Below are 14109 nucleotides of genomic sequence, written 5' to 3'. Positions count from 1 at the left end.
CTCTCAGTAAAAAGGTACAGCCTGCAGACAGCCTTTCCCACTGAAATCTTCTGACCAACACGAATGAGGACTCTCCTGCTCCTCTCTGCCTGAAGCTAGGACTTGTTTGTGTGTGTCTTTGGTGTCTGAAAAATTGATCCTTCACTTTGGGTCACATATCCTAGCACATGGTTCCCATGGAAATTCATGTCTCCTGGAGTCACATGAATTTCTTCAAGCGCCCTGGAGTCATCTGTCATCTTCTCAACCCCCCCTTTCCTTTTTTACTGGGCTCAATGTGCTCAACTTCACCCTGACTGAACAGTCCTGGACTCTTAAAACTAGTAACATTCCTTGGCTGCCTGGGCACTAACATCACATAAGCTCCAACCCAATGCTCCCCAAACCAAGACCAGGCCTCCTAGGCTAAGAGAAACTAACCACTTATCATGCCTTAAGAGTGTTTCTGATTTTGATGGGTAAAGAGAATATTTTCAATATGACAGCTGTGTTCCTCTTTTCTGAGTACACTATTTGAGACTAACATGCATACTTGTGGCTCTTTGATGTAAAATTGTCTACATTTTTAAGTGTCATTCAATCCTTTTCATTTCCTTATTGCATATATACTCCAACCTTTTTAAGTTTCTTAAACAAATTCTAAGGAGAATTCCTTCCTCAGACTAGTGGGTGGCCAAGCTGATTTCTGATTCAGTTGGCCCATGGTGGAGACCAGGCATCAGAACTGTTTTAAAACCATCCAGGTGATTCTAGTTCTCCAGGTGATTCGAATGGGGATGAGATCCATTGATCTGGAGAAGGACATCTCAAACTTTAAGGTGTTTAGGAATCACCTGGAACATTATTAAACTGAAGATTCAGTAGCTCATGGATGGATCTTGAGATTCCGCATCTTTAATAGTAGATATTATTCTGTCATGTAATAAAAAAATTATTCAAAATAATATAATTATTATTGTCTAAAAATCACATAATTATTATTATCCCAGAATTCCCAATCTTTGGAGAACACTTCAAGTAAGAAGGTTATTTAAATGATGTAAGGCTATTTAAATATGAAGTTGTTTTTTAACTTTGTAAAGTAAAATTAAATGAAAGTGAAAAAATTTAAATTTTCAGTCCTGCTAGCTACATTTCAAGTGCCCTGTGGCTACTGTCTTGAACAGGGCAGGGACAGAAACATTTCCAGCACAGAGAGTTCTACTGGGCAGTGCCATGCTGGATTCTTCATTCCCTGTATTTCAACTTGCAAGAAACTACATTCACCAAACCTGCAGGTAATGCATTTCTGCAGTACCCATGGGGGTTAATGACACATACATTTTGTCTGCATTTTTGCTTTGGACTCTTAAAGATGGAACACACACCAGAAACCTTTGATCTCAGGACCGGTTTTTAGCCAAATAATTAATGTATAGTATTATTGGTTTTGTTGCTGCTGTTTAGTTAAAGCAAACTTTATTGAAGATTGAGTTGAGTTCATGCATGCTCTCTGGTTATTTTGAAACTTCTTTTTAGGAAGGACTTGCCAGTTTCTCTTGCCAATCTATTTTACTGGCATTACCTGAAAAACAACTGTGTCATAGTATTTGTTTACCTTCTCTCCACTCAGGTCTAGCCACCTACTTCCCCCTTCCTTTAATTCATTCAACAACGTCAATGTAGAGTACTCCGAGTCCAGCACTCTGTGGCTGCTATGGGAGTTAAGGAAGAAATAGCAAATGGCACTTCCCCCTCACCGAGTTTATAATTGAATAGAGGACCTGTGATGAGACAAGCAAAACTCAAAATCTCATTAAGTTGCTAGCAGAGGCTAGCGAGTGGTAACACATTAAAACATTAAAACAGATTAGTTTCTCATATTAGCCAGCTATCACTGAGCAAAGGGCAGGCTCCAATAAAATGGTACACGGGAGAGGTAGGATTTAATGGAGGGGTAGGGGAGGCCAAGGTAAAGGCAGGCAGGGGCTAAGATATGGAAGGACTGCAGTGGGAGTAGGGTACAGCTCTATGGAGGAAAGGACTTGGGGAAGGCAGGCAGAGTCTGACGGACAGAGAGAGCACAGCAGGGTAAGAGGCATGAAAGAGGAACTGTGCAGCAAAATAGGGGGTCCATGGAAGTGGCTGACAAAATTCTTGTTTCCCATCTTGATTGTGCCTTCATCAGGGCAACTGTGCCCTCTGATGGACAGGATGCAAATATAAGGGAGGGAGTGGAGAGAGGGATGAGTCCATGGAAGGAAGTGGCTTTGTCCTGCTGCCTCCTGGGCCCACTATAAAAGCAGATCTGCACAAAAAGGGATGGTGAGAGAGAGCTTAAGTATCCACAGCACAGTGAAAACAGTGCTGGTCTGGGAGGATGGGATGGCCAAGTTCTATTCCCAGCAAAGCCTGGTGATCTTAGGACACTTTCAGCCTTCTCTGGGCTCATTTCCCAACTGTGCCATGAGAGAGTGAAATGAACTTTCACCATGAAACTTCTGCAGTCTCTGATCCTATGCCCTAGGGCAGTGGTTTGCAAGCTGGGATTGGTAGGGTGGTAGGTGGGGCCTGGCACCCTCCCTGCACCTGCCTCACACAGAGGAGTTCCATTTTACACCACTGATGAAGACATTGTATTTGTTAGAATTGACTGAGCCATTGTCTCTGAGCTTCTCTTTGCTCCTTAACCCTTATATACATCTTAGAAATGTAAATGTGGCTTCAAAGAGGGAGAGGGGTGGGAATGAGGAGAGAGAGAGAGAGAGAGAGAGCACAAGCACTATGCCTCATCTGGGGAAGAAGAGACTGGATGTCTCCACTAAACCAAGCCACAGAGTCCTTTCCCGTAACTCATACTTGTCAATGAGACAGGGTCATAAAGATCACCCACCCCACTATGTACAGGAAGCTTATAAAGAAAGTTGACAGATCATTTTACAAATATACCAAAAATTATGTATCCATATTACTTATTATTTTGGAAAACTGTACACATACTTGAATGACATTGCCTTTACTCAACCGTTTCAGGTCCTTAAAATTCCTCCTTTGAAACCTGATTAGTTTCCAGGCATACAATTCCTAAATCTTTGTGAAATTGATAGACTACCTTTCATTTTCTGAGCAATCAGAGCTTTGCAGCATACACCTCTGGAGTGAATGCCTTGTTGTGGAAAGAGGTGACGTATGTTGGTTTGAAAGGCAGGTGGGGGTCAATCCATGATGCTCCAGTTCATGTGCCCAGGGTCACCACCTTCGGGAAAGGCTGGCCCTCCTGACATGTGCCCTTGGCCAGAAGGTCACCACAGAAAACTCTCCTGTCTGAAAACAGAGCCCTCCAGCTGAGAAAAAGAACCCAACCATGATTTAGAGAGAAGCCTATTTCTCTTTTCAAATTTTCCAACTTGACATGTTGCTGTAGTGCACTTCACATCTGATTACATTAGTCACATTGCATTATCCCATATCAGATGTGACATGCTGCAATGGGATTGTGAGCTGTGTATAAAGATGTAGCAGCAGCCAATAACTTCAACCCACTCCTGATGTGAGAGCCGAGCCACCTACCTTCCCGGTAGCCCTTTACTAATTCAGATAAACCATCTGATTTTCTTGTCAAAGAGGAAGCCCCGTAAGTACTTACCTGAGTAGTCAGCTAGAAAACAGATGATTCTAGATGCCTTCCTTAAATCGGGGCTGCTTTTACTATTCCAGGAAGCAACACTCCCAACAATGATGCCTTCTGTGTGTCCAGCACATTGTAATTTGCAAGGTACTTTCAAATCCATCTTCTAATTCACATTCTACATTCTTAGCCAAACCTTAGCAGAGATTTTGTCACATTTGATTCGGTGATTCAAAATGTTCAACAGTTTCTTCCTGTCCCCAGGATTTGGGAGTGAAGAGAATGTTGGATATGCACCTTGGAAAATGCATGATAGTAAATGTCTGTCCAGGTGACTAGTTGGCATGAAAGTGGGGGTTGGGAGAAGAGATGGCCAACCCAGGAAACACAGAGTATACCGATCCATTCAAAGGATAACTATCTTAAGCTCCATCTCTGTCACATAGAAAAATCAGCTGGCCATGGCCACTGTGTGTGGCACACTCTGTGTGGCCATGTCTTCATGATGGGCTGCTTTACATTCGGTGATTAACTAGACTCAGTTTTGTTTTAATCTAAGTACTGATTAAAAGAAAGCTACTGAAGATACATATTACAACTATGGTACACTAACTTCAACATGAAAATTATAATATTTTCCTGGTTTCCCCCACGGGGAAGAACAAAGAAAATGATACCATCTTTCTAGAAAACACAAGACCAGACACAGTATGGTTTGAACCAATCTAATTAGAAGTTGTACTTGATTCTTCTCACAAAGATTCTTTGAAAATCTTTCATGATTTTCAAAGGAGTTAAAGAAGCTTCCTGAATCTCATCGTGAAGAATCCATGGCTCTGGCTTCTACATCAGGCCAGGGAAAGATTGTTGCTGAAGTTCAGGCATTACAAACTGACACAACCACTTCTAGGGGGAATGAGGTAGACCCTGTCTTCCTTTCTTGGAAGAAAGGAAACCCTTCCCAGGACCACTATCCCTAACCTAAAAGACTTCTCTCAAATGCATTGGCCAGGATTGCGCCACATAATTTTTTAAACCAATTTTTGACCAGGAGAACGGGATTATTATAACTGGACAAGAGAGGCAACCACAATGTTCACGACATTCCATCTGTCATAGAAGCAAGCATGTAGGAACACCATTTGGACAGGAGAAATGGGAACTAGCTGCAGAATTGTGAGGATAAGACCCAGCTGGGAAAATGCTTTTGGTGCCATTCAGCCTGGGTTTATACTCCTACATGAGGTGAGAAGGATCAAGAACGAGGAATCCACCACGTCGCTATCCCACACTGTCACCCAGGACCAGGCTTTCTCGGCTGGGTCTGAAGGAGCACTAGGCTCAACTTCCAGGAACAGTGCACTCACTACCCTCAGGACAGATCATCATCCATTCTTGTTTGCACAATATAGATGTATTCTGCCTTTCACACATTGGAAAGATATATATATTTGAAAATAGCTGCTGTGACCTTCCTACAATGCTTCTTCTCTAGGCTAAATATCCCGTTTCTAAAATCATTCCTATAATTCCAAGGTTGAGCTTCCTCTTGGCTCACTAACTACCACCCAGGGCTATACCTTGAAGTTTACTGGCTTAACTGCCCAAAATTGTTAGTTATCAGCACTTTGGTATGAATTGATTTCATCAAATAAAATTTATCCTGGAGTTTCTGAGGGAGAACTAGGAGGAAATGGAGAAGATGTAACTAGAGAAAGCCAAAAAAAAAAAAAAAAAAAAAAAAGAGCCTGGAGAGAAAAACGAGGAACTGAGGACACATCTTGCCAATGACACCAATTTACCTAAGATGTGTGATATCTTGGTGCTGTGTCCCAGCTCATGGTAGGGCAAGACAACCTGGGCAAACTGGAGTGAGCTGAGATCTAGAAACCTCTGAGATGATGGACCTTGCCAGAAAATACTGGAAGGAAGGCCTGGCCAGCAGGGAGAATAAATTTATTTATTTGAATGAATTCACTAATTTGTTGAATGCCTAGTATGAACTAGGCATTCTGCTGGACATTGGACATGCACTTTGGAAAGTGTATGATAATAAACATCTGTCCAGGCTGCTAGTTGGCATGAAGTAGGGGGAGGGAAGAGATGGCCAACCCCAGGGAGCAGAGGGTATCCCAATCCATTCAAAGGATAACCTGAAGATTCTAGAAGCCAGTAATATCTAGTCCAGCAGGAGTTAAGAGACAGGGAAGGCTGTAGACCTTTAGATTTTGGGTAAAGAACTGGCAATGAAGACAATTCTAAACGGACTAGGGCATTAGATAGATTACCCACAAGGGGCAGGACAAGGACACAGATACCAGGATGAGGATACAAAGTAGAGACCAGATATTCTGCTCAAGGGACAAGCCCCTTTATGAAAACTGGAGTGCAAGGTCAAGGTCACACCTGGATGAGTAGCAAGACTGACTTAGTGCTGATCAGGATGGGGACTGGAGCCTACAGCAGAGCTGACCTACTTTTGAGGGTCATGTGGGTCTGGAGGTTATAATTTCCATTCACAGGCCACCGCCGTCTTTCAGCTACCCCTCTTCCTTGACATGCCAATCCTCATTTCTTCAATTTGGGAGCTACTGTGGCCCATTAGATCAGCAGAGTGTAGCAATCTACTCCCCCTTGAGGCTACTTCTAAGGAATAACAAGTTGAGCTTGAACAAGACAATTTTTGCTTCTCTGTATCACAGGAACTACTAACCAAGAAGAAGAGAGAATTACTGTAACCTAGAATTTAAGATGCACATATAATGCCTAAATTGACTTTGAACCACTGAAATCCAAACAGAGTTCAGATACTTGTAAAATTTAGCTAGACTTATCTCTAAAACTTGTAAAGCCATATTCACACAAGTGTACCATGTTTGATAACAAAATACTTTCTTCTTTTATCACCAGAATGTTCTCCCCTTATAAGCATGTTAACAGTTGCAAACTTCAGGCAATTGGTAATTTTCCAGCAGTACAAGATTCTAGAGTGTTACATAAATGCTAAATACTCATCAGTTTTAATTAACAGCCTTGGCTGATTTGATTATTAGATTCTTGGAATTTCCCACTCAAATACCAGCTCTTCATTTTTAAGATGGAAGGGTATGGTTTCTCTCCTCTAACCAGAGCAAATTGCTCCACAGTATACAAATAAATTCTCTACTTCCCAGAACCGATGGCAAATTTGCAAAGCTCCATAAAACTCATGCACAACTTGCTGCTGCAGCTGCATAATTAAAAGAAAACTAATATATTGACTAGTTCTCCTCAGAATAGCATTCATAAGTCTCTGCTGCTTGAGAGAAGCGTGTTGCTAAAAGGATTATGGCCAATATCATTTTTATGATTAAAGAGAAAGAACGGTTCTGGTTTGCCTCGTCCAATCCTCTCACCGATATCCAACATGCTCCACTGGCTGATGTTTTTTACATCCTGAACTATCACGACAACCATAAGGAAATAGTTATCTAACGTACAGATTTACCACCAGAGCTATTGCTTTATCCTTGTTACATCGGCCCTCTGTCTCCCAAACCCAATCCATAGAAGGCTTATTTTTAGCAGTGACTAAAGGACTCCATGCTCTAATTTATGCACACATATAAAATCAATAATTACTTAGTCGACCTTTTCATTCGTCTAAATTTGGCCTGGCGTAATGGAAGCTGCCCACACAGTTCCCATTGAGAATGATAAATAGGAGACAGGAGTGCATCTCTATCTTCTCTCTCAGGGTCAGATGAAATCAGAGGCAGCTCGATTCTCAGCCAGCCCTTGAACTGAGCCACACGAACTTCTCTTTGAGGCAGATTCCATTCTGATGAACATCACCCCTCTTTCCAAAGAGGAACACTAACTTTGACTATGCCCCACTCTGGAGGCCTGAGTCCTGCACAAAGCCAGTCCTGCCTCTTCGTTCATGAGAGCAGTTGTTGCAATGAGCGCCAATGGCAGTAAAGAGTACAGTTCCCTAAATGGGCACAAGGCAAAGAGGGCTTGGACAACAAGTCGGCTTCGCTGTCCAAGGTATGGGAAGACAGGCTTCTAGAAATGTTTCTCCATGCCTAACCCCTTCCAACTGCCTCTTTCAATTTTGGAGGCTTTCCTACCATTGTCCAACACCTCTAGAAGGCTGACTTCCTACTGAATGAGCAGTAAATTAACCCCTACTTTGTTTTTTTAAATTTAAGTTAAAAAAATTAAGATTATTTTTAATTGAGATGGAGTCTTGCTCTGTCACCCAGGCTGGAGTGCAGTGGCACAATCATAGCTCACTACATCCTTGAACTCCTGGGCTCAGAAGATCCCCCCACCTCAGCCTCCTGAATGGCTGGGACAATAGGTGCATGCCATCACACCTGGCTAATTTTTTAAAATTTATTGTGGAGATGGGGTCTTGTTATGTTGCCCAGGCTGGTCTTGAACTCCGGGCCTCAGGCGATCCTCCCACCTCGACCCCCACAAAGTGCTGAGATTATAGGTATGAGGCAACACACACATCTGGGCCCGCTTTTGTTTTTTTAAAAGACTGTATTTCTGGCTTTCAGAGTGGCCCTTTTATTTTTCCTGAATTTGCTCAAAACAGGAAGGTATTGGATGACTTTAGGCACAGATATAGAGGCTATGTTTTCCTCTGTGCCTCAGGATTATTTAAACTTACCAGCAAGTCTATCTTCCTGCTTTAATTTCCCTATGATCAGGGCAGAAGGAAGACCTCCATGCTTCATATTAGCCACACTCTGAATCTTGAATTCTATGCCTTTGTTTTCAGGGAGTGAGATAATACAGCATCTTGGTCAAATGGCATGACCAGTCAACACAAGGGTCCCTCCCACCAGGAACTGTGTCACAATGAGACCTAGAACATGGACTGGAACTTTAATTTGTTCTCTATGTCTACAAATTTATGAGCTATCCTAGACCACTAAAGTCATTAAGTTATATATAGGAGCTGGTAAATTGTTGAGGTGCCTAACGATAAAAATAATTATATTATTACTACTATTTTAACTACCTTTTCTTGAGCATTTATTATGCACCTATGACATGCTAGACATTTTTTAAATGTGTGTGTGTGTGTATATATATATATATATATATATATACACACACACACACACATATATATATATAAATTCACCATATATTTATATATATATAAATTCACTAAATCTTTATCACAAGCCTGGTGTGGGAACTATTATTACAGAGTAGTTCTACTTGCTGATGAAACATCTGAGGACAAGTGACCTTGACCAAGGTCACAAGATAGTAAGTGACAGAACTGGGATTAAAACCTAAGCAGTCAAATTTTAGAATTTTATATACAGTATTTGAATTAAGCCTCATGACAGGCACTGTCTTTCAACCCCTGTATTCCGTCCACTATGCTGGAGTGGCTCTTTAGATTTCTGCCTGGTAATATGGCACTTCTTCAGAAGGTTTTAACAAAGCCTCAGCCAAGAGGACCTATTAAGTATGAGACATTCTGTGACACCACTCCCTGTGTTTATCAACCACGTTTTAGGAAAGTTCAGCATTCCTCAGCACTGCTGCCTGGCATGTAAAGCACACAGACTATATCCAGTGAATACTGACACAGGGGAGTGGTGAGGGAAAGATCACATGGCCTGGAAGCCAGGAGGGGAGGGAAAAGAAGGCAGAGAAGAGGCTTTGGAACACAAAAGACCCAGACTCTCAGGGGTTTGGTGGCCAGCTGCTCACATCTTTGCATAAAACATGGGCACAGGAATGTCGGGGGACACAGTGAGGATGGCTCCTGGGGGCAGCCAGCAAATTGGAGGATGTGCCTTGGTGAGGAGGGCTCTCAGGAAAAAAAGGGGAAAGGAGGCTTTTCTCTTGCATGTGTCTAAGAAATGCATATTGCACAGAGCTGAGGGGAAAATCAGAACAATTCAAGTGCTAAGATGCTGTGTATGTTGCTTTAAATTCTCCTGGCAACATCTAACATAGTCACTAACACAGAGGGGAATCTAGCCACCTGTCAACCCCAAGACACACTACCGACTGTTCGGGGAGTTATTCTAGACAGGAAGGAGCCTGCCACAATAATTACAGCACACTGCGATGGCCTTAAACAGTACCATACTCAGTGCATTATCTAAGGCTTTTTGTCAGCCCCTCTGAAAGCCATCAGCGAACCGGGCATGCTTTACTGGCCAAAGAAACTGATGTTTGGCTTTGGGTGATTTGTGGAATCGAAATTCTCATTATTCTGGAAGTATTACAGTCCACAATTGAAAACCTCCAAGGAAGGAATGCCAGGTGCCAGAAATGACAGAGAAATCTAGGGACACTAAGATTGTTTAATTACACACACAGGATTTTTAATGGATTCATTCCACTTGAGGAATGTGAAAGTATTTTAAATTTTTAAACTAAGAATAAAACCTTAAATACTATTATTCAGTGAAAGAAGGAAGATTAAGAACTTGAAAATTATCTACAATATAATTAAAATAGAACCGATAGTAATGAAAAGTCTGCAAATACATAGAATGAATATTCCAGATCAGAGGCTATGACTGAGGAAGATGGGATATCAGTCCTATTCCTCAGGAAAACAGGGCAGAAGAAAGATGTCCTGTTCTGGCCTTCCTCATCCAGAGAAAGGATAAGCTCTTGCAACCAGAATGATTGGGGAGTTTAAGGGTTGATTTATGAGGGTACATTAAAATAATTAAATGTGTATAATCTACTTAAATGATGACTGACAGGGGACAAAATAAATGTCTACTAAACTTTGAAGGTGTAAACACTAAGAATATAAGGAATTGTTTATTCTAATTTAGGAAGATTATTAGAAATAAAGAACTCTAAAGATTGAAAATAGTCTGGAAATTGAGGAATTCTTTGTGATGGAGAAGCCCAGCTAATGCATAATTGATCTCCCAGTGGGATATGGTAAAAGATATATCAGTAGAAATTCTTAAATGAAGCTCTTCAAGATGCTCTAAGGCCAGAGCAATCAGGGCCTGATGTTACCTGGAAAGGTCAGATGCATTAGTGAGTCCAAATCCTGACTGCATATCAGAAGAAAGATGAATACTTGTCTTGGTGCATTTTGTGTTGCTATAAAGAAAAACCTGAGGCTGGGTAATTTATAAAGAAAAAAGATTTATTTGGCTCATGATTCTGATGGCTGGAGAGTTCAAGATTGGGCATGTGCATGTGATGTTTAGGCTACTTCCGCCCACAGTAGAAGGGGAACGGGAGCTGGTGTGTACTGAGATCACATGGCAAGAGAGGAAGCAAGAGAGAGAGGGAGGAGATGCCAGGCTTTTTTTAACAACTAGCTCTTGAGGGCACCGAATAGAGTGAAAACTCACTTACCCCACATGGAGAGCATTAATCTATTCATGAGAGATCTGCCCCCATGACCCAAACACCTCCCACTAGGCCCCACCTCCAACATGGGGGATCAAATTTCAACATGAGGTTTGGAGGAGACCAACATCCCAACCACAGAAGCCACTTTCTAGGATCACTTTGGAGATTCTGAATCAGTAAGTTTTGGCAGAATGTTAAAATCTACGTATTCAAAAAGTTCCTCAGGATTACAGCAGTAACAAAGTAAGAAGTATCACACCTACCCACTATAGTCAACTATAAAACTGGACAAAAATATATGAAGTAAATGTTTTCATGTATTTTACAACATACAGAGAATGAGAAAAACAAAAAAACCGAGTTCCACGTTCACCTTGGCTTTCTGTCTGGGGACACTTATAAATTAGTACAGGAAAATTGAGCCAGTCACAGGTCTTATCAAGGGGAGTATCAATTAAGTGAGATAACCTACAGAAAGCAGTCAACACAGTGACTAACTTATACTAAGATTTTAATTGTAGTTATTATTAGAAATCATCTGCAAAATAATGATATTCCTAGGAAAGATATTGCCAACTTGCAGATTTCAGGAAAATTATTATTAAGGAGAAAGAAATAACAGCTAAATTTTTCTAACTATAGAGATATAATTCATCTTTAAATTACAATGTTGCCTTTTATTTAAGGTACCTTTTATTCCTAAGTTCAAATAGAATTTAAATTTGCAGAGACAATTAGAATGTGTGGTGTGAACACCAGAGAGCAGATAACTGCAAATAGATGGACCCTCAGAAATCTGCATAAGGGTTTCCTTAAATTATTGATCAAATATTAATTTGTACAATTACAAAGTTAGACTCTGTGAGAGCTAGCAGACAACAGCTACCAAAGCATTGGGAACAGAATGGACATTTTGAAGGTGCACAGGACTGGGAGATGCTGAAGTTCTGACCAGCCAGAGTGTAAAGAATGCTCTAAAAACTCTGTTTGGGTCTGTTAAGACCCAAAAAAGACCAGACCTTAGTTGTAGGATTACTCTAGACCTCTCTAACAGAGCCTGAAGCCAAGCCTCAACAGGTCAAGCTGTTTTACCACTAAGAGCTTTCCAACAGTACAAAATGCAACTTTCTTTATAGAAATGGGGGGGGGGCATATTTTCAATGATGTAATATCCACAGTGTCTAACACATAATAAAAATTATTAGACATGCATAAAAGCAAGAAAGTGTGATTCATAACTAAGAGAAATCCCAGCAATATAAATAGACCCAGAGGTAACACAGTTAATTACTGGAATTAGCAGAAAATTATTTTAAAACAGCTATTATAAATATATTCAGTAATTTAATGGAAAAGGTGGATATATGAGTAATCAGATAAGGACTCTATGGAAAGGAACAGAAACTGTTTATAAAGAACCAAATGGAAATTTTAGAATTAGTATAATATCCGAAAATAAAATTTCAATGGATAAGCTTGACAACACATTGGAGACTGCAGAAGAGATGATAAGCACACTTAGGTGATTAGAAACTCTCCAAACTTAAACACTAAAAGAAAAATACTGGAGGGAAAATGAACAGGGCCTCAGTGACCTAGTAAATAATATCAAATGGGCTAACATGTGTGTAATTGGAGTACCAGAATAAAAGGAGAGAGAGAGATTCTGGCAGATTAGAAAGACACTGGGGCAGAAAAAAAATGTATTACAAGAAATAATGACCAAATATATTTCAAATTTGATATCAACCCACAGATACAAGAAGCTTCAAAAGACCCCAAGAAGAGTAGGTAAAAAGGAAACCCTAAGCATATTATAGTGATATTACTGAACATTAAATATAATGAGAAAATCTTAAAAATATCCAGATACAAAAGACATATTACAGTCAGGACAACAATGATAAGAATGGAAGGTGATTTCTCTTCAGAAATAGTGCAAGGCAAAAGACAATGAGATAGCATCTTTTAACTGCCAAAAGAGAAATAGGTATCAACCTAGAATTCTATATCCAGCTAAAATTACCTTTCAAAAGTGACAGAAAAAGATAGTTTTAGATAAACATTAGCTGGGAGAATTTATCAACAACAGACTTGCTCTACAAAAGTTATTAAAGGAATTTCTTCAGGCTGAAGTGAAATGATATCAGAACTCAATTCTATGTAAAAAAGTGAAAAGTCCTAAAAATAATAAATATGTGAGCCAACAAAAATATTTTTGCCTGTTTTTAAAATTTCCTTATTTAGATAGTTGATGTTTAAGGTAAAAATATTAACAATGTATTTTATAATTTATAACTGTATTAGTCCATTTTCACACTGCTATAAAGAACTACCTGAGACTGGGTAATTTATGAAGAAAAGAGGTTTAATTGACTCATTTCCACAGGCTTAACAGGAAGCATGTCTGGGAGGCCTCAGGAAACTTACAGTCATGGCAGAAGGTGAAGGGAAACCAAAGACTTTCTTCACATGGTAGCAGGAGAGAAAGAGGAAGGGGGGAAGGGCCACACACTTTTAAACCATCAGATCTCATGAGAACTCACTCACTCTCACGAGAACAGCCAGGGGGAAATCTTCCGCCATGATCCAACCACCTCCCACCAGGCCCCTCCTCCAATTTGACATGAGATTTGGGTGGGGACACAAATTCAAACTAGATCAATAACATACATAACAGAACGTATGATTGAAGTATACATTTTTTAATTCTGTATATTGGAAGTGGCATAATGGGAATTCAAGGTAGATTCTGATAAATTAGGGATGCACGTTGTAATCCAGAACAACAATTTTAAAAATAAATCAAATATCTATAGCTTATAAACCAATAGTAGAGATAAAATGCAATATTGAAAATAATCCAAAAGCAGGCAGAAAAGGAGAGGAAAAAAAGGGGCAAACAATAGATGGAACAAATAGAAAACAAATAGCAAGATGATAAACTTAAATCTAATTACATTAATAATTGCATTATATCTAAATGGATTAATCACTGTAATTAAAAGGCAGAGATTATTAGACTAGATGAAAAGACCCAAATGCATACTGTTTAAAAGAGATGAAGTTTTAAACAGAAAGATACATATTGGTTAAAAGTAAGAGGATAGAAAGGATGTATTATGCAAACACTAATCAGGAGGAAGCTG

At 40.0% G+C, this 14109-nt stretch overlaps 1 long non-coding RNA gene across 1 annotated transcript; it reads right to left on the bottom strand.

Annotated features, from left to right (window-relative positions):
- Positions 1-1216: 1216 nt before the first annotated feature.
- On the bottom strand, positions 1217-8427 carry LOC105372029 (uncharacterized). The gene is made up of 3 exons (XR_935298.2): positions 8271-8427; positions 3626-3904; positions 1217-1564 (listed from the first exon to the last, which is right to left on the bottom strand). It is a non-coding gene; the product is annotated as an uncharacterized LOC105372029 (long non-coding RNA).
- Positions 8428-14109: the final 5682 nt, after the last annotated feature.

This window comes from Homo sapiens, chromosome 18 (assembly GCF_000001405.40).
Source record: "Homo sapiens chromosome 18, GRCh38.p14 Primary Assembly".
In the NCBI taxonomy this organism is placed as follows: Eukaryota; Metazoa; Chordata; class Mammalia; order Primates; family Hominidae; genus Homo; species Homo sapiens.
This window is presented reverse-complemented; position numbering and strand designations above follow the sequence as displayed.